Source organism: Homo sapiens, chromosome 6 (genome assembly GCF_000001405.40).
Source record: "Homo sapiens chromosome 6, GRCh38.p14 Primary Assembly".
NCBI classification, from domain to species: domain Eukaryota; kingdom Metazoa; phylum Chordata; class Mammalia; order Primates; family Hominidae; genus Homo; species Homo sapiens.
Genome location: NC_000006.12, coordinates 87,674,577 through 87,702,286, shown reverse-complemented (window position 1 = coordinate 87,702,286; position 27,710 = coordinate 87,674,577). Strand labels below are relative to the sequence as shown.

At 40.8% G+C, this 27,710-nt stretch overlaps 2 protein-coding genes across 4 annotated transcripts in view, besides 4 other annotated features; one reads left to right on the top strand and one right to left on the bottom strand.

Annotated features, from left to right (window-relative positions):
• On the top strand, positions 54 to 27,427 carry AKIRIN2 (akirin 2). The gene is made up of 5 exons (NM_018064.4): positions 54 to 837; positions 20,524 to 20,667; positions 24,320 to 24,469; positions 26,356 to 26,427; positions 26,680 to 27,427. Exons 1-5 carry the CDS (start codon positions 603 to 605, stop codon positions 26,688 to 26,690), a joined length of 612 nt encoding a protein of 203 aa, NP_060534.1. The 5' UTR covers positions 54 to 602; the 3' UTR covers positions 26,691 to 27,427.
• Positions 103 to 162: an enhancer, noted in NCBI's record as "active region_24799". NCBI's record gives its function as "activates an Ori minimal core promoter by ATAC-STARR-seq in GM12878 lymphoblastoid cells {active_cell/tissue: GM12878}" and the evidence as "EXISTENCE:reporter gene assay evidence [ECO:0000049][PMID:35858748]".
• Positions 323 to 492: a silencer, noted in NCBI's record as "silent region_17376". NCBI's record gives its function as "represses an Ori minimal core promoter by ATAC-STARR-seq in GM12878 lymphoblastoid cells {active_cell/tissue: GM12878}" and the evidence as "EXISTENCE:reporter gene assay evidence [ECO:0000049][PMID:35858748]".
• Positions 673 to 882: a silencer, noted in NCBI's record as "silent region_17375". NCBI's record gives its function as "represses an Ori minimal core promoter by ATAC-STARR-seq in GM12878 lymphoblastoid cells {active_cell/tissue: GM12878}" and the evidence as "EXISTENCE:reporter gene assay evidence [ECO:0000049][PMID:35858748]".
• Positions 3,279 to 3,798: an enhancer, noted in NCBI's record as "NANOG hESC enhancer chr6:88408207-88408726 (GRCh37/hg19 assembly coordinates)". NCBI's record gives its function as "activates a minimal SCP1, AML or CMV promoter by ChIP-STARR-seq in naive H9 embryonic stem cells {active_cell/tissue: H9 hESC(naive)}" and the evidence as "EXISTENCE:reporter gene assay evidence [ECO:0000049][PMID:30033119]".
• Positions 24,464 to 27,710, bottom strand: part of ORC3 (origin recognition complex subunit 3) — an 87,689-nt gene continuing 84,442 nt past the window's right edge. For all 3 annotated transcript variants that reach the window (XM_017010632.3, XM_017010633.3, XM_047418550.1), the window contains one exon: positions 24,464 to 24,573. In XM_017010632.3, the coding sequence (XP_016866121.1) occupies positions 24,543 to 24,573 (31 nt within the window). In that variant the 3' untranslated portion in view covers positions 24,464 to 24,542. The remainder of the gene's footprint in view (positions 24,574 to 27,710) is intronic.

Sequence of the window (27,710 nt, the reverse complement as noted above, 5' to 3'; positions counted from 1 at the left end):
TTTGAATCGGCGGCGTTGTTATTGACGCCATATTGGGGCCGGCGGCGGGTGGGAGAGTTCTACGAGGGAGGGGAAGCGGTTGGACGTGTTCGCTTGGGTTCCTGCTGCGGCAGCTACCTCGCAATCTCTCTGCATCGATCGCCGCTCGCAAGCTACTGACCGTACTCGGGCGTATTAGGAGCCGCGTTCCAGCCTCACACCCCACGGTGCTGTTTTCGACTTCAGAAAGGATCTAGTCTCAGCACAGAAGCGCCTCAGGCGCGGCGCAAAGCTCGAGCGGACGGCGGGGGCGGCCGGAGCCTCTCTCGGGGGAGCCGCGCCTGAGGAGGCGGAAGAACCCCCCTGACGCGACTGGCGTGTGCTTCTGCCCGCCACCGCCCCTCCCGCTCTCACCCGGGCCGTCCCTGGCCACTGCCCCTGCCGCGGAGGCAGCGGCGGCAGCGGCTCTCCTTTCCACAGCCGGCGCTCCGCGACCCGCTTGGCTCCTGAGCCCGTCGGGTAGGCTCTCCTCGAGTTCCCGCTCTTCACCCCTTCCCTCACCCTCTTCTTTCGTCACCCGTCCCCGACCCCACCCGAGCCCGGCGCCTCAGCTGCCCCCGGCCATGGCGTGCGGAGCCACTCTGAAAAGGACTCTGGATTTCGACCCGCTGTTGAGCCCGGCGTCCCCGAAGCGCAGGCGATGTGCGCCATTGTCGGCGCCCACCTCGGCCGCTGCCTCCCCGTTGTCGGCGGCCGCGGCCACCGCCGCCTCCTTCTCCGCTGCGGCCGCCTCGCCGCAGAAGTATCTCCGAATGGAGCCATCCCCCTTCGGCGACGTCTCCTCCCGCCTCACCACAGGTGGGACCCGGCCCCGCGGCCGCCGGGGTAGTGGAGAGAACTGGGAACAGGGGTCCTGGGGTGTGGGATGCGGCCCCTGGGGTGGGGGTGCCGGACTGTGTGGTTCTTGTTCTTAGCAAAGTAGTAGGGCAGCCACGTTTTTCACTAGGTCCTCGTAGCCCGAGGACCTAATAAGACACAATAGAAATGGGCTGATGTCAAGGGGATAGTGTTTGGAGGTGGGTAGGGGCTTTGCCTTGCCCGTATTGGGTAGAACAGGGACATCTTTTTCTTTGGGCCGAATGATTGGAATTGTTTCCGTAGTCGCTGGAGCCCCAGCGGAAATGATCAGAGAGGACGATATTATTCGTAAATTTAGGCGAAAGGGTCACATTTCACCCCAATCTGGATGTGTGCTTGCCGTAATCGATTGGTTGCAGCTATTAACTCTGGGACTGGGTGGTTTGAGGCGAGGCTACAGCCCCTCCTTCAGTTCAGACACGGCTGATTTTAGTATAGTGGGGGTGGGGGGTGGGGGATGGATGTCACTAGGGCGAGATCTAGGCCTGTCATTAATCACCCACAAGAACGCCACTTTGGCTGAGTCAAGACCTGTTTCCCTAGCAGGGTCAACAACAAAGAAAATGCTCTTCCCGAGTACTGTAATATGATCACACTATAAGTCTAGACCTTGAGAAATGTTGAACTTTTAATAAGCATATTGCATTGAAAATTGGGGCTGAGGAGTTGCTTTTATTTGGAAATGTTTTATTTTTGCCCAACAAAGTATGCTGGGGGAAAACAACCTAGCCTTGAGAATAATGAAGAAATCAACCCAAGATTCCAAGGGACTTCAGACTTTTGCTTTTCATCTTGAAACATTTCCTGAGAGAGACTGGGGAATGTCTTTTGGCTGCTTTGTAGGGCATGTGTATGCCCAGTTTTTTCTGTACTTTGAAATCCTTGTGTGCCCCTGGCACAATCCTAGGATAGGCTTTTGTGGACTAGAAGTGTAAATGTTTCCTTTGTGTGTAGCATGCAAAGATTTCTGTGTGAGCCTTTAGTAATAATATCACCCTTTAGACAAAGCCTTTCCATAGCTTGATTTAAATGTCTCGTTATCAGTAGCTTAAAAAACCGAAGTATATACCTCTGTATTTGGTGACTTCCATTTGAAACTGACTTTAGTGTTTTTTTTTTTTTGTCACATTTAAAAATATTTTCTAAATCCATGGAGTGACCCTCGAATATGCAAGCTACCATTTTTGCTATTAAATATTTGGTCTAATTTAAGGACATACTGTTTTAGAGTTGTAGTGAGTTTTTACGGAAATTCTTAGATAAATTTATTTAATGACCTTACTAAACTGTGTTTTAATTAGATTGAAAAGGCATTTGTTGATTAATTGTTAGGCTTTACTTTGGGAAAAAAAAAAGGAAACAGCCAATGTCAAGAATGAGCTACTGGTGGTTGACATTTTTGGAATTTGTCTTTTAGTGAAATGGTATCATTGGAAATTGAAATGGATTCTGTACTTAACTAATAAAGCCATTTCAAAATAAGGTCATTAAGGAGCTAACCAGCAATACATTTCAGTCGAGGGAGTGAATTAATACAGTGCTAGGTTTGGGAATTAAAGTACTATATCTCAATGTCAAAATAATCTTGGGCATGTATGTGAACAATTGGGGACTATACCATGTTCCTCCCCTTTAAAGCACACTTATTCAGAATTGTGATCCTTTGTAAACGACTTTTCATTGGCATATCTGTAGCGTTGGTTAATACAGTTGGCTCCACATTATCTCAAGTTTAAATTAATTGGACTGTTGTAGTAAAACGACTGGAATTATTGGAATTGTTTAAGCCAGCTGATTGAGATTCACATTCACTTTCCAAAATACTGCTATTTTCTTCAAGGTGTTTTTTTTTTGACATCTACTTTGGAAGTTTGATTATATCCTGAAACCTAAAATCACATCCTTATTGATTCTGAGTCTGCTAAAAGTTATTTCCAAACTAATTTGAATATTATCGCAAAAAGTTTACTTGAGAAAACAAGTTGAAATTGAAATTTTGACTTGCTAAAATTACATTTTTTAAACGGTAGTTTTGAATGACATTCTAAATGTAATTTAGTTTGACTTTGTGTTTATATGGCCAATTTGGGGTATGGTCCTGTATGTTTTTTGTAATGTCATAATGGGAGCTGCAGTGTTGTGCAGGTATCAAAGAGCTTCCCAGTTTTCATGTTAGTAAACTTGGAAATAATTTTCTCATGCACCTGATTTTTAGCTTCCTATTTTAACACCGATTATTCTTAAACTTTATGGGAGTAAATACCCATCTGTCATTAACTAAAATGAGTAGTTAGGTTTGGAAGTAGACAGTGGCTTACCAAATTGAGATTGGCAAACTTGTGGGAACTCTTTGTTTTCCTTTCACATCTGTGAGTTCAAATATAATACAAATTAATGTAGAACTAGAGTACTAAAGTGACTTTTTTTCAGAGCATGTATACACTTTATTTTATCATTGTTCTCCTCTAGATACTTTCAGTTTCTGATGGCATAGCTGAAGTCATGTTGTGGCTTTATTAGTTTCAGGAACTTGGATGTCTGTTTTAAACCTTAGCTATCATTTTAGTCATCCCAGGAAGTTTGACTTGACTATTCTTATTTAAATATTTTTCAAACTGTTGCAACTTAATACTAGGAAAAAGGAAGGACTAGCTGAGCTGACGGAAGTTAAGCTTGCTTTCTTAACCGCAAGGCTTAGAGCCTTTATTATGCTAATTGGCATTATGAATTTTTTAGGGACTCCTTAACACACAGCTATCCCAAACCTGTTTTTTAGGACACCTAAGTGTTACTAATTCAGAAATGCTGTTCAGGGTCTAGGGATGGTTGACAAAGTATAGCCATATTTTTGTGTAGCCTGAGAGCTAAGAATGTTCTTTACATTTTTTAAATGGTTGGAAAAGAATCAAAAGAATTATTTTGTGACACGTGAGAATTATGTGAAATTCAAATTTCAGTGTCCATAAATAAAATTTTATTGGAACACAGCTGTGCTCATTCTTTTTTTTTTTTTTTTAAGTATTGTTCATTGCAGGTGACGATGGCAGAGTTTAATAGTTGTCACACACAGTATATTGCCCCGAAAACTCCATATTTGCTCTCTGGTGTTTACAGAAAAAGTTTGCTTACCCTCATGTGGGGTGTCAGCAGTGAGGTTTATAATACCCCTGGGTATGGAAAAGGAAAAGTGATCAGTGGAAGTAAGGGGAGGGGGAGCAGAAGCATTGAATATCGTTGGTGAAATGAATGCCTCTAGTAGCTGCATCAATACTTACCCTGGTAAGTTAGTTGAAAACCAAAGTATGCTTTACTATTGGTTTTTGAAACATCTCATAATACTACCATTTAGCCAAAAGATTGTCATGACATTCCCAAGAAAGAATTTTAATAAAACCAAAATATTGCAACATTATAAGAGACCGTCAATCAAATCCAGCACATTGTTTTCATTATGTAGTGAATGAATGGTCTGAAGATACCCTTCTGTGAATGTTAATGTATTTGTGAGTTTGTTAGGCACATTAATTCACATTGTTTATGGCTTGGTACCATTAATCTGCCTTAGGAATTGAATTCTGTGAAGAGTTAAGTTCCTTTGTAAGAACTCATTGTACTTGCTGGAAACTTGCCATTAAAAATGGAAACTGCAGCTTGTGAATGGGGAAGGGTTTACAGGAACATAGATTGTTCACCAGACATTGATGCATGCCTGCAAACGGAGACACCAGCTGGCTTCAATGAAATATAAATGGTTCTAGGCGAACAAATGAGACGTCTGTTGGAGGAGGCAGCATCTCTCTTCAGATGTCATTTACATTGAGCCAGAAGTATTTTTTAATATTTTGTGGTTATTTAGACAGCTGTTAAGTTGCTCCTAGTTTCTCACTGGATTTGGCAAATAAATGTTTTTAATGGTCTTTGTACTTTGAGTCTTAAACCTGATATTCTATTTAGGACTGTGTATGTAGCTGCAGTTACTGCATATTTCTGTGATTTATGCATTTAAGAATCCTGTAAGTTTATGGCCATTAAAAACTGCAGTTGTATTCATTACTAATATAGAGCTTTTTTTTTTTTTTTTTCTTGAGACAAAGTCTTACTCAGGCTGGAGTGCAGTGGCATGATCTCAACTCATTGCAACCTCCATCTCCTGGGTTCAAGCGATTCTCGAGCCTCAGCCTCTGGAGTAGCTGGGATTACAGGCGTGCGCCACCACACCTGGCTGATTTTGTTTTGTATTTTTAGTAGAGATGGGGTTTCACCATGTTGGCATGGCTGGTCTTGAACTCCTGACTTCAGGTGGTCCAACTGCCTTGGCCTCACACAGTGCTGGGATTATAGGTGTGAGCCTGTGCCGCCGGCTTTTTTTTTGTTCGTTTGTTTTGAGACGGAGTCTCACTCTGTCGCCTAGGCTAGAGTGCAGTGGCGCAATCTCAGCTCACTGCAACCTCCACCTCCTAGTTTCAAGAGATTCTCCTGCCTCAGCCTCCTGAGTAGCCGGGATTACAGGCGCACACCACCACGCCCGGCTAATTTTTGTATTTTTAGAAGAGATGGGGTTTCACCATGTTGGTCAGGTTGGTCTTGAACTCCTCACCTCATGATCCACCTGCCTCAGCCTCCCAAAGTGCTGGGATTACAGGCGTGAGCCACCGCGCCTGGCCTCCCTGGCTTTTTTTTTTTTTTTTTTGGATGGAGTCTCACTCTGTCCCCCAGGCTGGAGTGCAGTGGCACAATCTCGGCTCACTGCAAGCTCTGCCTCCCGGGTTCACGCCATTCTCCTGCCTCAGCCTACCAAGTAGTTGGGACTACAGGTGCCCGCCACCATGCCTGGCTAATATTTTGTATTTTTAGTAGAGATGGGGTTTCACCGTATTAGCCAGGATGGTCTCGATCTTCTGGCCTCATGATCTGCCCGTCTCAGCCTCCCAAAGTGCTGGGATTACAGACGTGAGCCACTGCGCCCAGCTCCCGGCTTTTTTATTAAGGTAGGAAAATAAAGCCTAACTTGAGCACAGCAACACATAGGCTAAACATGGCTAGATTAGAGGTTAGCCCCTCTTTAGGTGTGGAAGGTACTATTCACTATGGTTGCCACGGAGACATAACCTGAGATGTAAAGGAGAATAATATAAATTTCTTCAGTTTTTTAATGGCTTTATTGGAAAAAGAATGTAGTACATACTAATCGGGTCTTTGTTTTGTTTTTGTTTTCTGAGACAGTCTTGCTCTGTCCCAGGCTGGAGTGCAGCAGCACAATCTCGGCTCACTGCAATCTGCCTCCTGGGCTCAAATGATCCCCCTGCCTCAGCCTCTCAAGTACCTGGAGATACAGGCATGTGCCACCATGCCCAGCTAATTTTTGTATTTTTTTGTAGAGATGGGGTTTCACCATGTTGCCCAGGCTGGTTTCAAACTCCTGGGGCTCAAGCAATCTGCCCGCTTCAGCCTCCCAAAGTGCTGGGATTACAGATTTGAGCCACTGTGCCCGGCAGGTTTTTTCTGCTAAGTGTTTTGATAGATCTAGAAAGACAGTGATAGAAAGCTTTCGTTTTGAAAGATTGAGAATAAAAGCTTCAGTGGAAGTGCCCAGTTGTGAGTATCTTTCCTATTTGAAAAGAGATTTTTCTCTTTATAAAAGAAGAATGTGAAGTAATAGCATGGGTTAAGTTTGGGCCTCTTGAATAGTTGGTTCATGAAACTAGATAATGGTATTAGGAGTGGGAGTAGGTATTTTCAAGTACCTATCACTGAATTAGTTAACCAGCAATTTGTAGTCTCTGTAGTCCTTGTGTTAACCCTATGCCTAGCACTGTTGATTCAAAGAACGTTCTCTATATATGTGAAACTACAGGGAATTTCTTGCCTTTGAGAGCACCGCCTGCTTTTAAAAAGGTATGAGAGAAAATATTTATTTAAGCCTATACAAAACTATCAGGCATCTTAAGTCTTGACATTTCCCAAGGTTCTTAGAGTTGCTATGGTTGGAAAAAAATGTAATTTCAGTTTTACCCTGTAATTCTGTACCAAATTTTCTTTTTAGACTGTTCTATGACATTGTCATAATGTGTAACATTTTTGACAAAAAATGTGACTCCAACGAGTCGTAATAAATACTGCAATTAGTTTAAGACTTTGAATAATACTTTTCTGAGGAACTTTAAGTATATTTCTCTCTTCATTTTTCTGGATAATGATGAGAACATGGATTACATGAATTACAATATTTTAAGTAGCCCCATGTATAAGAATTTTTCTATTATCAGGTATTTGCTCATTGGAAGAAACATTTTAAAGGGTTTCACAGGATTTTTAGAAGAAAATACTTTTTAATAAGAAGTTGTGATTTATTTCCAAAGAAATTGAATTATTTGTTATAGCAAGTTTCTCACATGAGATGATATTGTATCTATATTAAGCAGGGAATCCCTGCAGGTAATTTAAAATTCTAGTGGATGTTAGTTTTTCAGCTTTGATATTTATTTTGGGCCTATTAATCAGAATTTTACAGTATAATAGATTTTGTAATATTTTTGGTGATGAGGATTTTACAGTATAACAATTTTTGTAATATTTCTTGTGATGGTAGGCTTTGTTGGGTGGTAAACTTTCTAGCACTAAGAAAGCAGCTCATAATAATATACTTTTAGTTTGTCTTGGGGTGTAGCTTTTTTTCCCTTTAGTTTTTATCTGTCACAAGTGTCACAGGCAGATCATCTTGAGATGTACTAGTGGCTATTGTGATTTTATTAACATTGTAATCTTTCCATTAAATACAACTTCTGGATTTGACTTTTTAGGTCTTTTGATGTACCTGGATTTCTTAACATTATTAAAACATTTAAATTCTTCTTCTAGAAGTCACTTGTTCGAACCCTTATGAACCTCATTTGAGTTCTAGATACTGCACTGGCTAGGCAAAGAAGAGTAAGAGTCTCTCTTGAGAGACTGATGATAGAGCAGCCACTGTTGATACTTTATTAGCTAGCACTTTATGCTTTATCAGTATACCTATTTTCATTTCTTATTAATATTTTTCCACATTAGTATTCATTTCCCCTTTGATAGCCTAAATATTGAAATTGGTTTACTGATTAAATCACTTTTGAAACAGTTTTTTTCCTTAAAGTGTTAAGGCTTGTTTACTAAGTTTCTGAAATTGTGTCAGTATATGATGTGTATTCTCACTTTGGTTAGCATTCATTTTCATTTCTGTTAATGTTAATTCTTGTAAAACTCCCTCAAAAAAATCAAACTAGTTGGAATGGTTTGAGAGAGGGACTTGGATTTTTCTTTTGTTTATTTTTGTTGAACTGATGAGTAAATGAAGAGTAGAATGTACAGTGAAGTTTGAAGAAAGCCAATTTTTCAAACATTACTGTCCCCCTGAACTGTGCCTTTTAATTATGATAGGAGATTGTCTTGTTCCTCCTACTAAAATATGATTATCTAGAAGAACTTTTCTAAGTGGTATACTTGATTTAAAGTATAGAAGATTTTAGTTGCTATGATAGAGAGGGGGACTTGATGTTCACTGTGACAATCTTTCATAGCCCAGGGTAAAATAGTGCATTATCAGAGCCTGGCATTGTAATTAGTTGTACATGTGTGGAAATACTGACCTATCAACTTGGAATAATTCTTCACTTTTTTTTTTTTTTTTTTGAGACAGAGTCACAGTCTGTCGCCCAGGCTGGAGTGCAGTGGCGCAATCTCAGCTCACTGCAACCTCTGCCTCCTGGGGTCAAGCGATTCTCCTGCCTTAGCCTCCTGAGTAACTGGGATTACAGGTGCGCACTGCCACACCTGGCTAATTGTATTTTTAGTAGAGACAGGGTTTCACCATGTTGGTCAGGCTGATCTTGAACTCCTGACCTCGTGATCCGCCCGTCTGGGCCTGCCACAGTGCTGGGATTACAGGCGTGAGCCACCGCGCCCGGCCATTTCTTAACTTTTAAAACACCAATAAAGCATTCTGGCTAGATATAAATACCTGTCCTAAGATGAGGCATTTTAGAGTCTTGAAGCATCCCTTATATACATTTCTGGATGTAACATGAAGAGGTGTTACAATTTTTTTTTATAGCTAGTCATTGCTGTTTCAGGGGTCTCATTAGATGAGAGTTATGCTTCATTTTGGTTATTGCCTTTTTCTTTTTTTGAGATGGAGTCTCACTCTGTCGCCCAGGTTGGAGTGCAGTGGCGCAGTCTCCGCTCACTGCAACCTCTGCCTTCTGGGTTCAAGTGATTCTCCTGCCTCAGCCTCCCGAGTAGCTGGGACCACAGGTGCCCACCATCATACCCGGCTACTTTTTTGTATTTTTAGTAGAGATGAGGTTTCACCATGTTAGCCAGGATGGTCTTGATCTCCTGACCTCGTTGATCCGACCACCACAGCCTCCCAAAGTGCTGGGATTACAGGCGTGAGCCACTGCGCCCGACCAGTTATTGCCTTCTTGACAATCCCATTTTTTGAAGTTTCAGTGTATGAAAGTATAAATTATGCATAGTACTGATGTCTATTCTAACTCCTGTTTTCTAAAAATTAACTTTCCTCGTTGTGATATTTATTTATTTTTGAGACAAGAGTCTTACTCTGTCACCCAGGCTGGAGTGCAGTGGCACGATCTCGGCTCACTGCAATCTGCCTCCTGGGTTCAAGCGATTCTCCTGCCTTAGCCTTCTGAGTAGCGGGGATTACAGGCGTGCGCCGCCACACCCAGCTAATTTTTGTATTTTTAGTAGAGACAGGGTTTTGCCATGTTGGCCAAGCTGGTCTTGAACTCCTGACCTCAGGTGATCTGCCCACCTCTGTCTCCCAAAGTGCTGGGATTACAGGCATGAGCCACCGCGCCCAGCCCATTGTGATTTATTTTAACATTAAATGCTAATAGAATTTTGATTAAGTGTAGTAATGTACTACTGGAGAGGGTAGTAGATGTTAAGAACTTGGGCCCTGAGGTCAAACCTGGCTCTGCCATGTTCAAGCCGTGTGACATTGCAGAAGACACTGAAGCAGAGCCTCATTTTTCTCATCTCAGGAAATGTGCACATGATGATAGTAGCATATGCCTCTTAGGGTTGTGAGAATTAAGAGCATTTACTGGCCAAGTGATGGAAATGGTCTCAAGAAGGCAACCTCAAATGGGACTTTTACTCACCAGCAAGTTTGCCTTTCAGTGACTAAGCCTGCCTTCTACAAAAGAGTTGCCATCAAATCACAGTTTTTTCATTGTTTTTAGTACCAGCACTACTGACATTTGAGCCTGTCCTGTTCTAGTATCATCGAGGATTAAACAATTATTAAAGCACTGTATATAGTGAGGGAAAGATTCCACTTTTCTCCAAAGTAACTTTATCCTCTTGATTATTCCATTTCTTCTCTCAATTGGATCTTTGCTTTTGGCTTTATATATTCACAAGCCTTCCATGAGAAAGTAAAAGAACAAAACATACTCATTTTCCTCCAGCTATCTTCCAGATTTCCTCCACTTCAAAATCAAATTCAGAGAGCTTTCAAATAGTCTGTTTGCTTCCATTTCTTCAGTTCTTAATTCCTGACATGCCTCAAGCAGCTCCTGTCAGGTCATCAGTGACTTCCATGACACTCAATCAGTCCTCCTCTTATTTGACCTTTCTTTCAGCATTCTGCCTGCTGGCACACTCCTTTCTTTTTGAAATGGCCTTTTTCTCCTTTGACTACAATTTCCCTCTACTCCCTAGCTGTTCTTCTCTTTACCTGGGCATTAAACCTTGCAGTTCTTTAGTTCTAGCTTTAGCTCCATGCTTATGTCACTTAATAGCTCCCTAAGCAGTCACATGCCTGCTCCTGACTTCAGTTTCCATTTACAGATGTCTCTTTAATTTGTATCTTCAGTTGGTTCAGACAGTTCCTCTTTAGTTGCAGCCATGGGAAATGTGGACTTTTTTTTTTTTTTTTTTTTTTTTTAAGATGAGGTTTTGCCCTGTTTCCCAGGCTGGAGTGCAGTGGTGCGATCTCGGCTCACTGCAACCTCTGCCTCCTGGGTTCAAGCAATTCTCCTGCCTCAGCCACCCAAGTAGCTGGGATTACAGATGTGTATCACCATGCCCGGCTAATTTTTGTATTTTTAGTAGAGACAGTTTCACCATGTTGGCCAGGCTGGTCTCCAACTCCTAGCCTCAAGTGATCTGCCCACCTTGGCCTCCAGAGTGCCGGGATTATAGGTGTGAGCCACCACGCCCAGCCTAATTTGGACTTTTTATCGTCAGATCTTGGTAGCCTTCGCTCCACCACTAGAAGTCAGAACTTTTGTGAAATCGATTGACTTTTAAATGTTCACAACTAATTTACAAAATACATGGGATAAATAAGAGATGTATGTAGACTTCTAATGAGTGTCTTATGGTGTGAGAGGTGGTCTTTTTGTTGTTGTTGTTGAAACCGTCTCACTCTGTTGCCCAGGCTGGAGTGCAGTGGTGCAGTCTCCGCTCGCTGCAACCTCCATCTCCTGGATTCAAGTGATTCTCCTGCTTCAGCTTCCCTAGTAGCTGGGATTACAGGTGCCCGCCATTATGCCCGTTTAACTTTTGTATTTTTAGTAGAGATAGGGTTTTACCATGTTGGCCAGACTGGTCTTGAACTCCTGACCTCAAGCCATCTGCCCACCTTGGCCTCCCAAAGTGCTGGGATTACTGGCATGAGTGACCGTGCCTGGCCTGAGAGGTGGTCTTAATTCCTCTTTTTAATAAGTGGTCATGTTGGTAAAGTAAATGAATTGCTTCATCATCAGTCACATAATGACGAATATGAATTTCCTTTTTTAAAGTGTATAAGGAGAGATGAAATAATCATTGTATATAGGTTAATGTCATGTAATGAGTTTTCCTAAGTAGGTCCAATCAAGTTAAATTAATTTGCAGAATATTTTCCTCCTACAGGAGGGGTATGTCTGACTTAGAATTACACTTGATCTTAGCCAAAAGGCTGAGAAGCAATGAACTGACAACTGCAAAAACCATTCAGGTGAGGGTGGCAAAATGATTTTAAGTTAGCTTAGGTATTTTCCTACTTGTAATAACCTTGCTGCTAATGTCTTGCTTTCCTTCCTCTCCACTCCTTAGTATGTCCAATAGTAAACCACTTTTTAAAAAATGTTCAATTAAGAGTTGGTTTTTTTTGTTTTTTTGGTTTTTTTTTTTTTGAGATGGAGTTTCGCTGTTGTTGCCCAGGCTGGAGTTCAATGGCGTCATCTCAGCTCACTGAAACCTCTGCCTCCCAAGCTCAAGCGATTCTCAGCCTCCCAAGTAGCTGGGATTACAGGCTCCTGCCACCATGCTCAGCTAATTTTTTTGTAGTTTTAGTAGAGACAGGGTTTCACCATGTTGGCCAGGCTGGCCTCCAACTCCTGACCTCAAGTGACCAACTGCCTTGGCCTCCCAAAGTGCTAGGATTACAGGCGTGAGCCACCGCCCGTGGCCAAGAGAGTTGTTATTTTAAGCAGGGGCTAGAAACTTTAAATACGCATAGTTCCAGATGTGTAAATGATTTAAAGTAAACTAGGAGGGAACTAGTGAATTCCAGTCCTGACCGGCAGCATCACCTCATAAGGAACGTAGAATCTTAAGCTCCACCCTTCAGAGTCTACATTTTAACAAGATCTGGAGGTAATCTGTGTGTGCATTAAAATTGTAGAAGCACTTGAGAACTTAGGCCCAAAAGGTAACAGTCACTTTGAATCTTCAGCTGAGTTTTGCTGTGTTATCTGGTTTTCCCAAGAGTAGTCAGAAGTCTGACTTTATGTGTAAAACCACCCAGTTTTTAAATGGCCACAAATTAACATGTTTTTAAAAAAATCATGTCCATGGGGCTGAGTTTGGCCTGTTAGTCATCAGTTTTGCAAATCCTGGTTCCAGGTATGCTTTTTTTGTTTGAGACCGAGTCTCACTCTGTTGCCCAGGCTGGAGTGCGGTAGCACTGTCTCGGCTCACTGCAACCTCTGCCTCCGAGGTTTAAGCGATTGGGATTACAGGCATGCACCACCTTGCCTGGCTAATTTTTTTGTATTTTTAGTAGAGATGGGGTTTTGCCATGTTGGCCAGGCAGGTCTCGAACTCTTGACCTCAGGTGATCCACCCGCCTCGGCTTCCCAAAGTGCTGGGATCATAGACATGAGCCACCGCGCCTGGCCCGGGTATGCTAATTTTTTGGGGGGTGCCTGAACAAGTTGTTATAGGAGATTGTTTTGTTCTTCAGCTTGATCGTGGTGTACTGGAGTCCTCAAAGAGTCTGCCTTCTCAGTCTCTGCAAGCTGGCTTAGGTTCTGCATTTATACTTATATAATATTTAACTGTATAAAAGGCATTCATTTATCTTCCCTGCAGGAGGAGGAACAACTAGAATCACTACAAGGTCAAATTCTTTCATTTCACTGGTACTGTATAGCTAGTGCTACTTATTTGAAGTAAATTACTCAATTTGTTAAAACCCTGCAGGTAAATACACATTACATTGGCCCTGTGGCTGTGGTTAATTGGAATAGAAGCTGAACCTTCTGCCTTGGAACCAAATGTTTCTGTAGCATGCACATGTTGGGTTTTGGATTTGGGGCAGTTCAATTTCCCCTTCTTCTCCATTTATTGTGTGTTTTTTTTATTGAGACGGAGTTTCACTCTTGTTGCCCAGGCTGGAGTGCATTGGCTTAATCTCGGCTCGCTGCAACCTCCACCTCCCCCCGGGTTCAAGTGATTCTCCTACCTCAGCCTCCCGGATAACTAGGATTACAGGCACATGCCAGCATGCTTGGCTAATTTTTTTTTGTATTTTTAGTAGAGATGGGGTTTCTCCATGTTGGTCAGGCTGATCTTTAACTCCCTACCTCAGGTCAGCCGCCTGCCTTGGCCTCCCAAAGTGCTGGGATTACAGGCGTGAGCCACTGTGCCTGGCATTTTTTTTTTTTATTTTTTTAAAGACACGGTCTTGCCAGGCACGATGGATCAGCCTGTAATCCCAGCATTTTGGGAGACTGAGGCGGGAGGATCACCTGAGGTCAGGAATTTGAGACGAGCCTGGCCAACCTGGTGAAACTCTGTCTCTACTAAAAATACAAAAATTAGCTGGGCATAGTGGCGGGCACCTGTAATCCCAGCTACTCTGGAGGCTGAGGCAGAAGAATCGCTTGAACCCAGGAGGTGGAGGTTACAGTGAGCTGAGATCACACCATTGCACTACAGCCTGGGCGACAGAGCGAGACTCTGTCCCCCCACAAAAACAAGAAAAAAAACTCAAGGTTTCACTCTTGCCTAGGCTGGAGTGCAGTGGCGCTATTGTAGCTCACTGTAGCCTGGCACTCCTGGGATCAAACTATCTTTCTACCTCATTTTGCCAATAGCTGGGGACTAAAGGGCAAGCCACCGCACCTGGCTAATTTTATTTTTTATGTTTGGTGGAGATAGAGTTTTCACTTTGTTGCTCAGGCTCGTCTCCAACTCCGGGCCTCAAGTGATCCTCCTGCCTCGGCCTTGCATGAGCCACTGCGTGCAGCCATGCTTTCTTTGTTATTACTCTATTTTGATAGCTTGTAAGTTATTTGAGAAAATACTTAAAAGTAGTTAAGAGCTACATAACAATAGCAACAAGGTTAATGTATCCCCTTAGTGTAATATAAGCTGGAGGTGTAAAACTTACATTTACCTGCAGAGTTATAACAAATTGAGTCGTTTCTTTCAAATAAGTAATCATTGGCTATATGTACCAGTGAAATAATAGTATTTTAAAGTGAATTTAAAATGGTATCAGCTCATTCTTTATAGTCCAATAGCTCTTGGTTGGATAAGAATATTGTCCTTAAGATTCAATCAAGGAGAACATAACTGTTTTAGTTTCTGCAGAGATGATCCTGGGAAAATAGCCAATTAATAAAGATGGGTCTCCATAGCAACTCCAAGTAGTGTGTTTTTTTTTTTTTTTTTGAAACGGAATTTTGCTCTTGTTGCCCAGGCTGGAGTGCAATGGCTAATTTTGTATTTTTAGTAGAGACAGGGTTTCTTGGAGTTGGTCAGGCTGGTCTCGAACTCCCAACCTCAGGTGATCTGCCCACCTTAGCCACCCAAAGTGCTGGGATTACAGGTGTGAGCCACCACGCCCTGCCCAAGTTGTGTGTTTTAATTTAGAAAGTAGTCATGACAGTATCTAGTATGTAGTTCAGAACTGTACATTGCTCTGTTATTTTGGAACAGTGTGTCTTAGTTTTAAGTCTTAATGACTATTGCAAGTTTTCTTTACTTAATTATGTACAGGTTTCCATATCATTTGTGTTCCTGACTAGAACTGGCAGACTTTCAAGATTTTTTTTTTTTTTTTTTTTGAGTCTAAGTCTTGCTCTGTCGCCTGGCTGGAGTGCAGTGGTGCAATCTCGGTTCACTGCAACCTTCACCTCCCGTGTTCAAGCAATTCTCCTGCTTCAGTCTCCCGAGTAGCTGGGATTACAGGCGCCCACCACCATGCCTGGCTAATTTTTGTATTTTTAGTAGAGACAGGGTTTCGTCATGTTGGCCAGCCTGATCTCGAACTCCTGACCTCAGGTGATCCGCCTGCCTTGGCCTTCCAAAGTGCTGGGATTACAGGCATGAACTACCGCGCCCGGCCACAAGATTTCTTTTTCAATTCCATTGTTTGAATTGTCTTTCTAGGTCCACTTTCATTTTGTGTTTTCCAAAGATATTCCATGGAGAAATAAATGGTATTGACCTATAAAATGGTACAGAGGGGCCCCATACACCTAAACTTAAAACTGTTCGCGAAACCGTAATGTTTGATCTAGTAATGATGTCTGGAGGAAAATAGTAAAGCTTTGTGGGTCTGGAGCAGAAGTTTCTAGTTTCACATGTCAGATTTTTAGAACTTAAATTTATGGACCCTAGAAAGATATTTTGACACCCCACCTCCCTTCCTTTGTGGTTCTCCTTAAACTTATTTTTAGTTGCTTCTAATTCCATGTTCTTCCCTTTGCTTGGTCTTATCTTGATGCTGTTTATCTTGCCCCCATCAATTCCATTATGCTTTTTATCCCATAACTACATTCTCCTGTTTATATTGTTGACCTTATTCATGGTGTCCAGCATTTCCTAAGTAATCAGTGGCAACTAAAAAGAGGCCTTTTCTTTCCACATTTACCTTATTTATTTATTTTTTTGAGACAGAGTTTTCATTCTTGTTGCCCAAGCTGCAGTGCAGTGGCATGATCTCAGCTCACTGCAACCTCTTCCTCCCGGGTTCAAGCAATTCTCCTGCCTCTGCCTCCCAAGTAGCTGGGATTACAGGGGCCCGCCACCACACCCAGCTCATTTTTATATTTTTAGTAGAGATGGGGTTTCACTGTGTTGGCCTGGCTGGTCTCAAACTCCTGACCTCAAGTGATCCTCCTGCCTCACCCTCCCAAAGTGCTGGGATTAAAGGGGTGAGCCACTGCATCTGGCCTCCTAATTTGTTGTTAAAAATATTCCAAAGGAATAGGTGCTGACCTGTTGATACTGCCTACCTGCTAAGGAGAATTTTATTAGCAATTTTAGTGTCATGTACTAGGTTTGAGAATGAAAATGCTGTGAGTTGTAGAACTTGCTAATAATGACTTCCATTTAGCAGTATTTTATGGTAAAAGAGTAAGGTAGTTTTTAGGATTTAGAAAAAGAATATATAGCCATTTGTGTGCTTTAGCTTTTCTTGAAGATAACTCTAGATATTTTGCTCTAAATGGTTGCTGCAAATTCAGTCTATGCCTCATAAGCCAAATAGGAAGGCATATGATTAAAACTGGAATATGCAACTGATAATACAAGTGAAGCTTGGACTTCTTTTTTCTTTAATGAACTGTAAATTGTGTTGGCAAGACAATGTCAGATATTACATGTACCTTGGATAAAATATTAACTTGCTGGTATGATAAGAGATGGCCAGATCTAAGTAGCTTAAGACTAAGTAGGCAAGTACTTGACTGATATATGGAAGGCCTTTATCTACCTGGTATGAAAGCAACTCAGGTTAGCCAAGTATCTAGATCGAGCTTAGCAATGTAGTTGTAGAATATTGAATCTGAGGAAATTTCTTGAGTTATCAGCTTCAAGACTGTTTATATCCCTGAACTGAAATAAATTGAGCTTGAGGCCATTGCAGTTAGCTGTTTGCTACTTGTGCAGTTGAGATCTTGGCCAAGTTAAATTGGACCCTTCACTGCATAACATTGTTGATCACATGTTACCAGTATTAGAGCATTTGAGGGCACAGTGTGGCTTAGATGACATAGTTGCATCATATTAGATGTAAAAAGCAATGCAGGCAATAGTATTAAAAATTCTTCAGCTCTTTAGCTGACAATATCAAGTGTTGGCAAGGATGTGGAACAGCTGGAGCTGTAATACTTTTATGGTAGGAATGCAAAATGACAAAATCACTCTGGAAAATGGTTTAGCAATTTTATTTTGTAAGAACAAAATAAACCCTTCATTTGCCATATGATTAGGCAGCCCATTCCCACTCCTAGGTATTTATCCAAGAGAAATGAAAACATGTCCACCAAAGACTGGTACTTGAATATTCGTAATAGTCCCAAATTGGAAACAGCCTAAATGTCCATTAACAGGAGAAAGGCTAGCTGTGTGTGTATATATACATACATATGATGGAATACTCACCAATAAAAAGGAATTTCTGATTCATGCAACATACATGAATCTCAAAAGCATTTTGCTGAGTGAAAGTAGTTCAGACATAAAAGTCTACACTCTTTATGATTCTATTTATGTGAAATTCTAGAGAAGGCAAAACTATGTAGTAATAGCAGATGAGTGTTGGTGGACTGTATGGGGGAGTGGTGATATTGGTAGTGAATTAACTGCAGAGAAGCCCAAGAGAAGTTTTTGGAGTGATAAAAAGTTATTTATCATAGTTACGTTAGTTCCAAAACTGTATGTATGTACTTGTCAGAACTCAAATGGATTGTACATTTAAATTGGTGAATTTTGTCATTTGTAAATTATACCTTAAAATTGTTAGTGATGTCCCTAAGTATCTGATGGTATGGAGTTTTACAAAGATAAAATTTTTAAAAGTTTTACCGTTTCTTAATTCTGGGTTAGCTTTCATTTGAGATTATCAAATGAACAAATTGAGGTTGTTATTATACAAGCATTCTTTTGGTACATTTTAGTTGTGCTTTGGTTGACTTGTGAAGCAGAAGTAAGACTAAATCTGAGAACAGCTATGTGGTGATAAAAGAACGTATATAAGTCACACAAAAGATAAATATTAAGGTCAAGTTACTCCAAACTAGTACCTCTTAACATCTCTGGTTATAAATAAATTTTATGATGTTTTGAATGGCACTTTTGATCAGGATAATGGTAGCTTTGGACAGAAAGTGATGAATATGAGTGAAGCTTACTCTCTCTCAGCAAAATAGAATGGCTGGGCACGGTGGCTCACACTTATAATCCTAGCACTTTGGGAGACCGAGGAGGGTGGAACACCTGAGGTCAAGAGTTCGAGACCGGCCTGACCAATGTGGTGAAACCCTGTCTCTACCAAAAATACAATTTAGCTGGGCATGGTGGCTCGAGCCTATAGTCCCAGCTACTTGGGAGGCTGACGCAGGAGAATTGCTTGAACCTGGGAGATGGAGGTTGCAGTGAGCTGAGATCACGCCACTGCACTCCAGTCTGGGTGACAGAGCAAGACTCCATCTCAAAAAAGAAAAGAAAAGAAAAACCCTTTAGATTGTTGTTACTGAAAAGAGGTCTGTTATTAAAAAATGAGGATATTTGTGTTTATCCTGGTTGATACTGGATGTTACATTAGTTTTATTGGGTACCTCTGGTGAATATTAGGAAACCCATTTATATCAAGGTATGCTTACCATTCAGTAGACAACTGTTTCATGCCAACACTGATAATTTAATAATTTAACGACTGTCACTCGATTGGAGTAACTTTGTTTTCAAATTACAAAGTAGTTCAAATAAATGGAAAAGAACTGAAAATGAGCATAACCCGTATTAAACAAATGTTAACAAATGAAAAATGTTAAATACAGCTAAAGCACCCCGACATAACCATCCTGAAATTAATCATTATAGACCTGTTTATGTACACATGAATGAGTGATTTTGTACTTAAACTGCACATTCGTGTATGTATAAACAGGTCTTTTTATACAACAAAATTTATGTAAATGGTATCTTTAACTGGATATGTCTTGCCACTTTTTTTTCAGTTTAAATAATGAAACAGGCAGTATCTAAAATGTTTAAGGAACTTATTTGTCCTCCCAGAGTCTCTCAAAAATTCTAAAAGTTCTTCTCCTAGGGAAATAAAGTGAGAAAATAAGTGACAGGATTTTGTAGATATGGTGGTTATCTACGAAAACCACCAGTATTAAATTTTAAAAAGAATTATTGTATGTAAATCTTTAGCTTTCTTTTTTGTGTGTCATAAAGACACGGTCCCTCTATGTTGCCCAGGCTGGTCTCGAACTCTTGGCCTCTAGTGATCCTCCCACCTTGACCTCCCAAAGTGCCAGGGTTACAGGTGTTGAGCCACCACACTTGACCAATATCTAACAGTTCTTAAATTAATGCATCATTGTAGAATTGAATGTTAAGGCTACACTCCACTCTATCAGTCTTTTTATTGCCACCTAAAAATTTCATTTTTGTTTAATCTTGCTTTGGATTTTGGTTAGTAAACTTCTAGGGATGTAGTTTCACATTGATAACCTGTTAACTTGGGAGCTATGGAGTATGGAGGTGTAGTGAGGAAGTCTGGAAGGGGAGTGGAAACCCCTAGGCAGGGATTTTCTGGAGGGGCCAGATGGTAATTATTTTGAGTTAGAAATCTTTCTGAAATGAATCATAGTGGCCTAAAGGATGTGCCAGATATAATTTTACTCATTTGTGTGATTGTGGTTCAAGATAATTGCACTGTGGTATAGTGGTTCTTATTTATTGAGGACCTGTCATGTACCAATCACTTTACATGGTCTCCCCCTCACCCTACCCTCCAGCCCCAAGATTCAGAATGCTGTAGTATTCTTAGGTTTTATTGAGCTTAAAATAATTGGCCATGGCCATTTAATGTATGATGACTTTTTAAGTTCCCATCTACTTTGTCATTTTGTTGACCTATTATCACTTCAGACTGTTGTGTGCTTGAATATACATAATCTCCCAAGCCCCTTCTTATTTATGGGCTTGGAAAAGGCATAAAGGCAGTAAAGGCAGTTGGAAAAGCCTGTTAGTGTAATAGTTCTATGTGATGAATAAATGAGCTTTAAGTTTGGAACTCTTAAGAATCTGAGTAAAATAGGTGTTTTGGTTCACAGACTCCTTGACCATTATTTTGACTGAAAAACTTTATTTTTGCTAGTCAGTGCTCAGCAAGAATATTGTTGAACAGCTGAATTCCAGTTGGTGTGTATGTGCTAAGTGAATGTCCCCATTTATGCTGAAATGAGTTCCTACCAAAATGTCAGTTTTCTGGATATTATTTGAAAGGAGTATTTTGGGTAGATTGGTCTACTAAATAATGTTGGAAAGCCAACCTCTTTTTTAATGTGAAAGTTTTTATCTTGCCAAATTTTAACTTTTTTATTTTAGAACAAATTCTGTACAACATAAAACAAGAGTATAAACGAATGCAGAAGAGAAGACATTTAGAAACGAGTTTCCAACAGACAGATCCGTGTTGTACTTCTGATGCACAGCCACATGCATTTCTCCTCAGTGGACCAGCTTCACCAGGTAATAACATTTCTTGTCATTTACAAAGTTTATTATTTAGAGTGGGAAAAGTCTAATCCAAGTTGTCTTTAGTCATTTAAGCTACTGTATCTCCTCTGAGTTTTAAAAAAACATTTATACAAGTAATGCATGACATCTTAAAAAATAATATGGTACAAAATAAGGAGTTACCACTGGATTCCCACTAACCAGAGACAACCACCTGCATATAATATCCCCAAAGTGGACATCCTGTAAGTACTATGATTTGTAGCCTTTATTAAAAAAAATTAACAATAGGCCAGGCACGGTGGCTCATGCCTGTAATCCCAGCACTTGGGGAGGCCGAGCGAGGTAGACAGGTCACTTGAGGTCAGGAGTTTGAGACCAGCCTGGCCAACATGGCAAAACTCTGTCTCTACTGAAAATAGAAAAATTAGCTGGGCGTGGTGGCACGCGCCTGTAGTCCCAGCCCCTCGGGAGCCTGAGGCATGAGAATCACTTGAACCCAGGAGGCGGAGGTTGCAGTGAGCTGAGATCATGCCACTGCACTCCAGCTTGGGCGACAGAGTGAGACTTTGTCTCAAAAAAAAAAATAATAACAATACTGTATGCTCCTTTGTTAGGTATAGATGTACCTTGTCATGACTGAACACTTAATGATAGATAATTCAACTTAGAAGTTTTGCTGGTATAGTATTTTAAGAACTATCCCTGTATACATACCCTGCCTCACACACTTGTCTTATTGGGCTAGATTTCTAAAGGTGGATTATTATTATTTTTTGATCCTGTATCTGTTTTTACCTACTTTTTGTTGGGGGGAATGTTTGCAAATAACCTTCCTTTTTTTTAAAAAAAAAAAAAAGGGGGGGGGCGGGGAATAAGGGCTACTTGAAGCAAAGAGAAAGTTGAAGGTTTTGCTGAGAGAGAGCCATCAATAGTGGCTCTTATCTTTAGTAAAGTTCTCAGGAAAATAGCTTTTCTTGTGACAACAGTTGCCTTTGTTCAACGCTTTCTCTCCTCCCCCTAGCAAGGGAAGGAAAACCTGGCAGAATAAAAAAATTTGCGGCTGGGCGCGGTGGCTCATGCCTGTAATCCCAGCACTTTGGGAGGCCAAGGCAGGTTTATCACGAGGTCAGGATATCGAGAACATCCTGGCTAACACAGTGAAACCCCGTCTCTACTAAAATCCAAAAAATTAGCTAGGCATGGTGGCAGGCGCCTGTAGTCTCAGCTACTGAGGTAGGAGAATGGCATGAACCCGGGAGGCAGAGCTTGCAGTGAGCAGAGATCGCGCCATTGCACTCCAACCTGGGTGACAGAATGAGACTCAAAAAAAAAAAAAAAAAAAAAATCAAAGACCATAACATAGTCAAATAAAATTAGATTAGGAAACATGAACTTGTTCAAAACTAAATACTGCCATGCCCATTGTGGGGGCCAGGTATTAGTGGTTGAAACATAGAGGTGAGGGTTGGGCACTAGACTGTATTAGCAGGAAACCAAGATCATTATTTCCTTACTCACTTTACTTAGAAGATCAGTTAACTGGCAGTCTTAAGTAACAAAGCTGGGAATGTGAAAGTAAATTAAGATGGCTTTGGATAATTATGGAATAAAGCTGGTGGGCTTTGTTATTGTGGTATGCACAGTTCTAATAAGCATAGTTAACTAGCTCCTGCCATGCAGGTTATAAGGAGCAAGTTAAGAGAGTAAGTAATATTGGTGGTACCAGGGCAAATTCACAGAGCGAGATGAAGAAACAATTGGTAACGAATGGTGCACTTGAATATGTATAAAATACTTTTAGCAGTATTACAGTAGATGTTATTACTACAAAATATTTTCTCTTTTATTAAAAATATCCTAATAGGTATAAAAATGCTGAAGGAATATTTGAAATTGACAGATGCTGATGTTGCAGCTGCTTTGGGATTCTTAGTGTGATGACAGTGTAGTTCTATGGTATAGAGTTTTGAGCATAGCATTATCAGCTCAATGCTTGAGCTTATTTTTCCATGCGAATTGTTGTTAACTTAATGGGAATTAGTGGTCAATGAGTTCAAAAACCTTTAGAATCATTTATGCTTCTCCAGCAAAGTAGATTTCAGAATGTCTTGTTTTGTTTTGTTTTGTTTTTGAGACAGGGTCTCACTCCGTTGCCCAGGCTGGAGTACAGTGGTGAGATCTTGGCTCACTGCAACCTCCACCTCAGCCTAGCCTGTAGCTAGAACTACAGGCACGTGCCACCACTCCCAGCCAATCTTTGTATTTTTATTAGAGACATGGTTTGCCATGTTGCGCAGGCTGGCCTTTAGCTCAAGGGTTCCACCTGCTTCGGCCTCCCAGAAAGTACTGGGATTACAGGTATGAGCCACCACACAAGCTAGGTTCCAGAATGTTTTTTAATCTTTTCTAAAAAGGATTCATGCTGTACCTTCTTTTTTTAAACATAAAAATTTATTGTGCCAACATGAAATTTCTTTTTTTTTTTTTTTTTCTGAGATGAAGTTTCACTCTTGTTGCCTAGGCTGGAGTGCAACGGCATGATCTCGGCTCACTGCAACCTCCGCCTCCTGTGTTCAAGCGATTCTCCTGCCTCAGCCTCCTAAGTAGCTGGGATTACAGGCATGTGCCACCACGCCTGGCTAATTTTGTATTTTTAGTAGAGACTAAGTTTCTCCATGTTGGTCAGGCTGGTCTTGAACTTCTGACCTCAGGTGATCCGCCTGCCTCGGCCTCCCAAAGTGCTGGTAATACAGGCGTGAGCCACCATGCCCGGCGTATTTTCTTTTTCAATAAAGGAAAACCCCTTTCTAAAGGTGTGAAATGATGGTAGAATAATTACCAGTTCATTGTGTGTAGGCTCTTAAGATATTAATGGTATGGCTTTGAAGACTAAGTGTCTTTTTACAGGCATAATGATTTGTTATTCTGGGACTAAATAAAATTAAATTTAGACCTGAGGTGTTCTTCATTCCTAGTGTAGGAAAGTAATTTAGTCACTAAAATACTTCATGGTATGGTATTTTCCAGAAAGGAGATAAGATGTTTTGTAATGGGACCCATCATTGTAATGTTTAAGTTTTATGTCTTTTTTAAATTTAATTTTTAATTTTTTGTTTTTATTTTTTTGAGATGGAGTTTCACTCTCTTTGCCCAGGCTGGAGTGCAATGGCGTGATCTCGGCTCACTGAAACCTCCGCCTCCCGGGTTCAAGTGATTCTCCTGCCTCAGCCTCCCGAGTAGCTGGGATTACAGGTGCCCGCCACCATGCCTGGCTAATTTTTTTATGTATTTTTAGTAGAGGCAGGGTTTCACCATGTTGGCCAGGCTGGTTTCAAACTCCTGACCTCAGGTGATCCGCCCACCTCGGCCTGATTACAGGCGGTGAGCACCACGCCCAACCTTTCTTATGTCTTAAAGTTTTTTCTACTCACCTTTAGTCTTTTTTATCTTAATTACATCTTGCCGTGTTTTTCCAGCGTCACCAGCTGATGGAATTATTATTTTGGTTGTTTTAAGACTTGTGAAATGCTGTGCTTAAAATCTGATTTTAAAATGCTTTTATATCAAGATTGAAGAGATCCAAATAAAACCTCTTCATTTAGAAACTGCTTTATATCATGGCTCTAAACCAGGTGCTATTTTTTGTCCTCATTGTACATAGGGACTTCATCTGCAGCATCCTCACCATTAAAAAAAGAACAGCCCTTATTTACTCTACGGCAGGTTGGGATGATCTGTGAACGTTTGTTGAAAGAACGTGAAGAGAAAGTTCGAGAAGAATATGAAGAAATATTGAACACAAAACTTGCAGGTATGAGGTGTGTTTATTAGAGTTTCTGAGGAACTCAGTTGTGTGAAATGCATTTTCCACGTGTACTTTAATTTCACTTTCTATACACTGGTGCGGTATATTCTCTGAGAATGAGAAAATTTCAGTTCAGGAAAGAAAATTAACCTTCTTATAGCTCATGCCCGCCTTGGTAACCTGAGGAAAAGAGTATTGGCTAGCCGTGTAGATCAGCAGTAATATTAGTAGGTACCCTGTACTAAAAACTGATGTTAGTAGTTTACCTCAATTTGGTTGTGGATTTTTTGACTTTATATTTTTCATAACGTTACCATCAATGTAGACATTTAAAATATCTAATTGGCTGTCACTGTGTAAGTCATTGGAGTATCAAACTGGAGTCCTGTTTTAGTTATCAAAAAATTCAGTAAAATTTGATAATTTAAGTAAATAAAATTTATTATGTATGGTAACATAAATAGAATGTTTAGCCACAGATTTACTGTTTATATAGATATGTAAGCTTTTTTATTTTAAGGAATTAATATAGAGGTGTTAATGTAGAGAAGATAATTTGCTTAGATATATAACAACTTTTTCTGTGATACTTGATCAGGTTTTAGGTAGTGTTTTGTTGTTAGCTTTTGTTATCCTATTCTCATTGCAGTCAGTTGCCATTCATAGACCACATACAATAACTTTCAGAGTAGAAAGGTCTTTTTATTGAAAGTCCTTTGTTTTTAATTTTTTTTTTTTTTTTTCCTGAGACGGAGTCTCACTCTGTCACCCAAGGCTGGAGTGCAGTGGCGCAGTCTTGGCTCACTGCAAGCTCTACTTTCCGGGTTCACGCCATTCTCCTGCCTCAGCCTCCTGTGTAGCTGGGACTACAGGCACCTACCACCATGCCCGGCTAATTTTCTTGTATTTTTAGTAGAGACAGGGTTTCACCGTGTTAGCCAGGATGGTCTCGATCTCCTGACCTCGTGATCTGCCCGCCTTGGCCTCTCAAAGTGCTGGGATTACAGGCGTAAGCCACCATGCCCGGCCAATTGTTTTTTTTTTAAGATGGAGTCTCACTCTGTCGCCCAGGCCGGAGTGCAGTGGCACGATCTTGGCTCACTGCAACCTCTGCCTCCCGGGCTCAAGCGATTCTCCTGCCTTAACCTCCTGAGTAGCTGGGACTACAGGTGTGTGCCACCATGCCCAGCTATGTTTGTGTGTGTGTGTGTGTGTGTGTGTGTGTGTTTTTAGTAGAGACGGGGTTTCACCATGTTAGCCAGGATGGCTTTGATCTTCTGACCTCATGATGTGCCCGCCTCGGCGTCCCAAAGTGCTGGGATTACAGCTGTGAGCCACCGCGCCCGGCCTCGTTTTTTTTTTTTTTTTTTTTTTTTGTTGCCCAGGCTGGAGTGCAGTGGCGCGTTCTTGGCTCACTGCAAGCTCCACCTCCTGGGTTCACGCCATTCTCCTGCCTCAGCCTCCCGAGTAGTTGGGACTACAGGCGGCCTGCCACCATGCCCAGCTAATTTTTTTGTATTTTTAGTAGAGATGGGGTTTCACCGTGTTAGCCAGGATGGTCTCGATCTTCTGACCTTGTGATCCGCCCGCCTCGGCCTCCCAGAGTGCTTGGATTACAGGCGTGAGCCACCGCACCCGGTCCCAGCCTTTTTGTTAGGAAATAAATAAATCTCACCTAGCCTTTATGTCAGGTCATGTGATTGGACTAAAACCTAGGTTTCCTGACTAATAAGTTGCATGCTGTTTTTATTTGATACACTATTAGTACTACTGAGGTTATGTAAGTGATTTTGTCAACTTAGAATTGTTTTACTGTATATTTTGTGTTTTCAGTTTATCTGGCTCTAATAAGGCATTTTACAAATGTAATTGACAAGTACCTTTATTTATAGAACAATATGATGCGTTTGTGAAGTTTACGCATGATCAAATAATGCGACGATATGGAGAACAGCCTGCTAGCTGTAAGTATTTCACCTTTGAAGTTATAAACTGAAAATAAGACTGTCTTTTAAGGAGAAGACATTATAATTATTTTCATACTCAAAAAGAGAATTCAACAAAATTACTGAGAATGTATGGAGGAAATAGGCAGCATAACTTTGCAAGTCTTTTGGTTACTTAAATACCTAGGGGCAAAATTGGGAATCAAGATCTAGTATTCGTTTGGATTTTGACCTGTATTTTGCACTAATTTTCTTTTTCTCACCCTTTAGATGTTTCATGAATCACGTATCCTGCATTTGTGGGCTGCCTTGTTCCTTGTTGAGTTGTTGCAAGAGGTCCCAATTATGACATGCAGCAATGCCAATACCCCTTCTGTGAATACAGGTTATTTCAAGCTTTCGTCAGTGGCAACCACTCTTAGGCAGCAGCAACTGGTTTTGGAAATTTCCCTGATGTCAGTACCACCTGGATGTGGACCTTTGCTACCTGTATTAATACCAGTGGCCTCATTTTGCTGTATCATTACAATTTGGCTTCTTATATTAATGTTTGAAAAGGATTAAAGCTGGTATTCTAGAACATGCCCTTCACTGGTTGTGTAAATAAAACTGTAGAATGACACTTCAGATGAAGTTAGTGTGATTTTAATTGTGCACTACAACCGAGCTGTAACCAGTTACTAATTTTAGAATGTAATCCCAGGACAATATTAAGCAAATAGCCTGCAGTGCTTCCTGTGAAATAGTGAAGGAGGAGGGCATTTCTGTATTCCAGGACTTCTTGGGGTTTCAGAATGGGTTTGTATGATTTTTTTTTTTTTTGTAGTTTTATTTATTCTATCAGTCTTTTTAACAAATGTTTATTGCTGCATTTTTTTTTTTCCAGTGTATCATTGTTTTACTGCCCTTGTAGTACTGGAATTTAGTTGGAAGAATAAAACATTTACTTCTATTTTGCTTGTTTCTTAATGTACAGATGGGGTTAGTATTTGAATAAAGTTGGTGTTTTAAAACGTAAGCATTTTCCAGGAATCAGTGAAGTTAATTTTCTAAGATTTGAGTGCTGTTTCAAAACACTGAGTTCTGATTCTAAATGCCTTCTTCTGCTGGGCGCGGTGGCTCATGCCTGTAATCCCAGCACTTTGGGAGGCCGAGGCGGGAGGATCACGAGGTCAGGAGATCGAGACTATCCTGGCTAACACAGTGAAACCCCATCTCTACTAAAAAAAAAAAAATATATATATATATATATAAATTCCTTCTTCTGTAACTTACTGCCTGATAGAATGTTACAGGTATTT

Excerpts from the sequence above, each read along its gene's own strand:
- AKIRIN2 (NM_018064.4), top strand. The coding sequence starts at position 603 with ATGGCGTGCGGAGCCACTCTGAAAAGGACTCTGGATTTCGACCCGCTG. Across the intron at positions 838-20,523 it reads CTCCTCCCGCCTCACCACAG|AACAAATTCTGTACAACATA; the intron begins GTGGGACCCGGC and ends TTTTTATTTTAG. Across the intron at positions 24,470-26,355 it reads ATTGAACACAAAACTTGCAG|AACAATATGATGCGTTTGTG; the intron begins GTATGAGGTGTG and ends CTTTATTTATAG.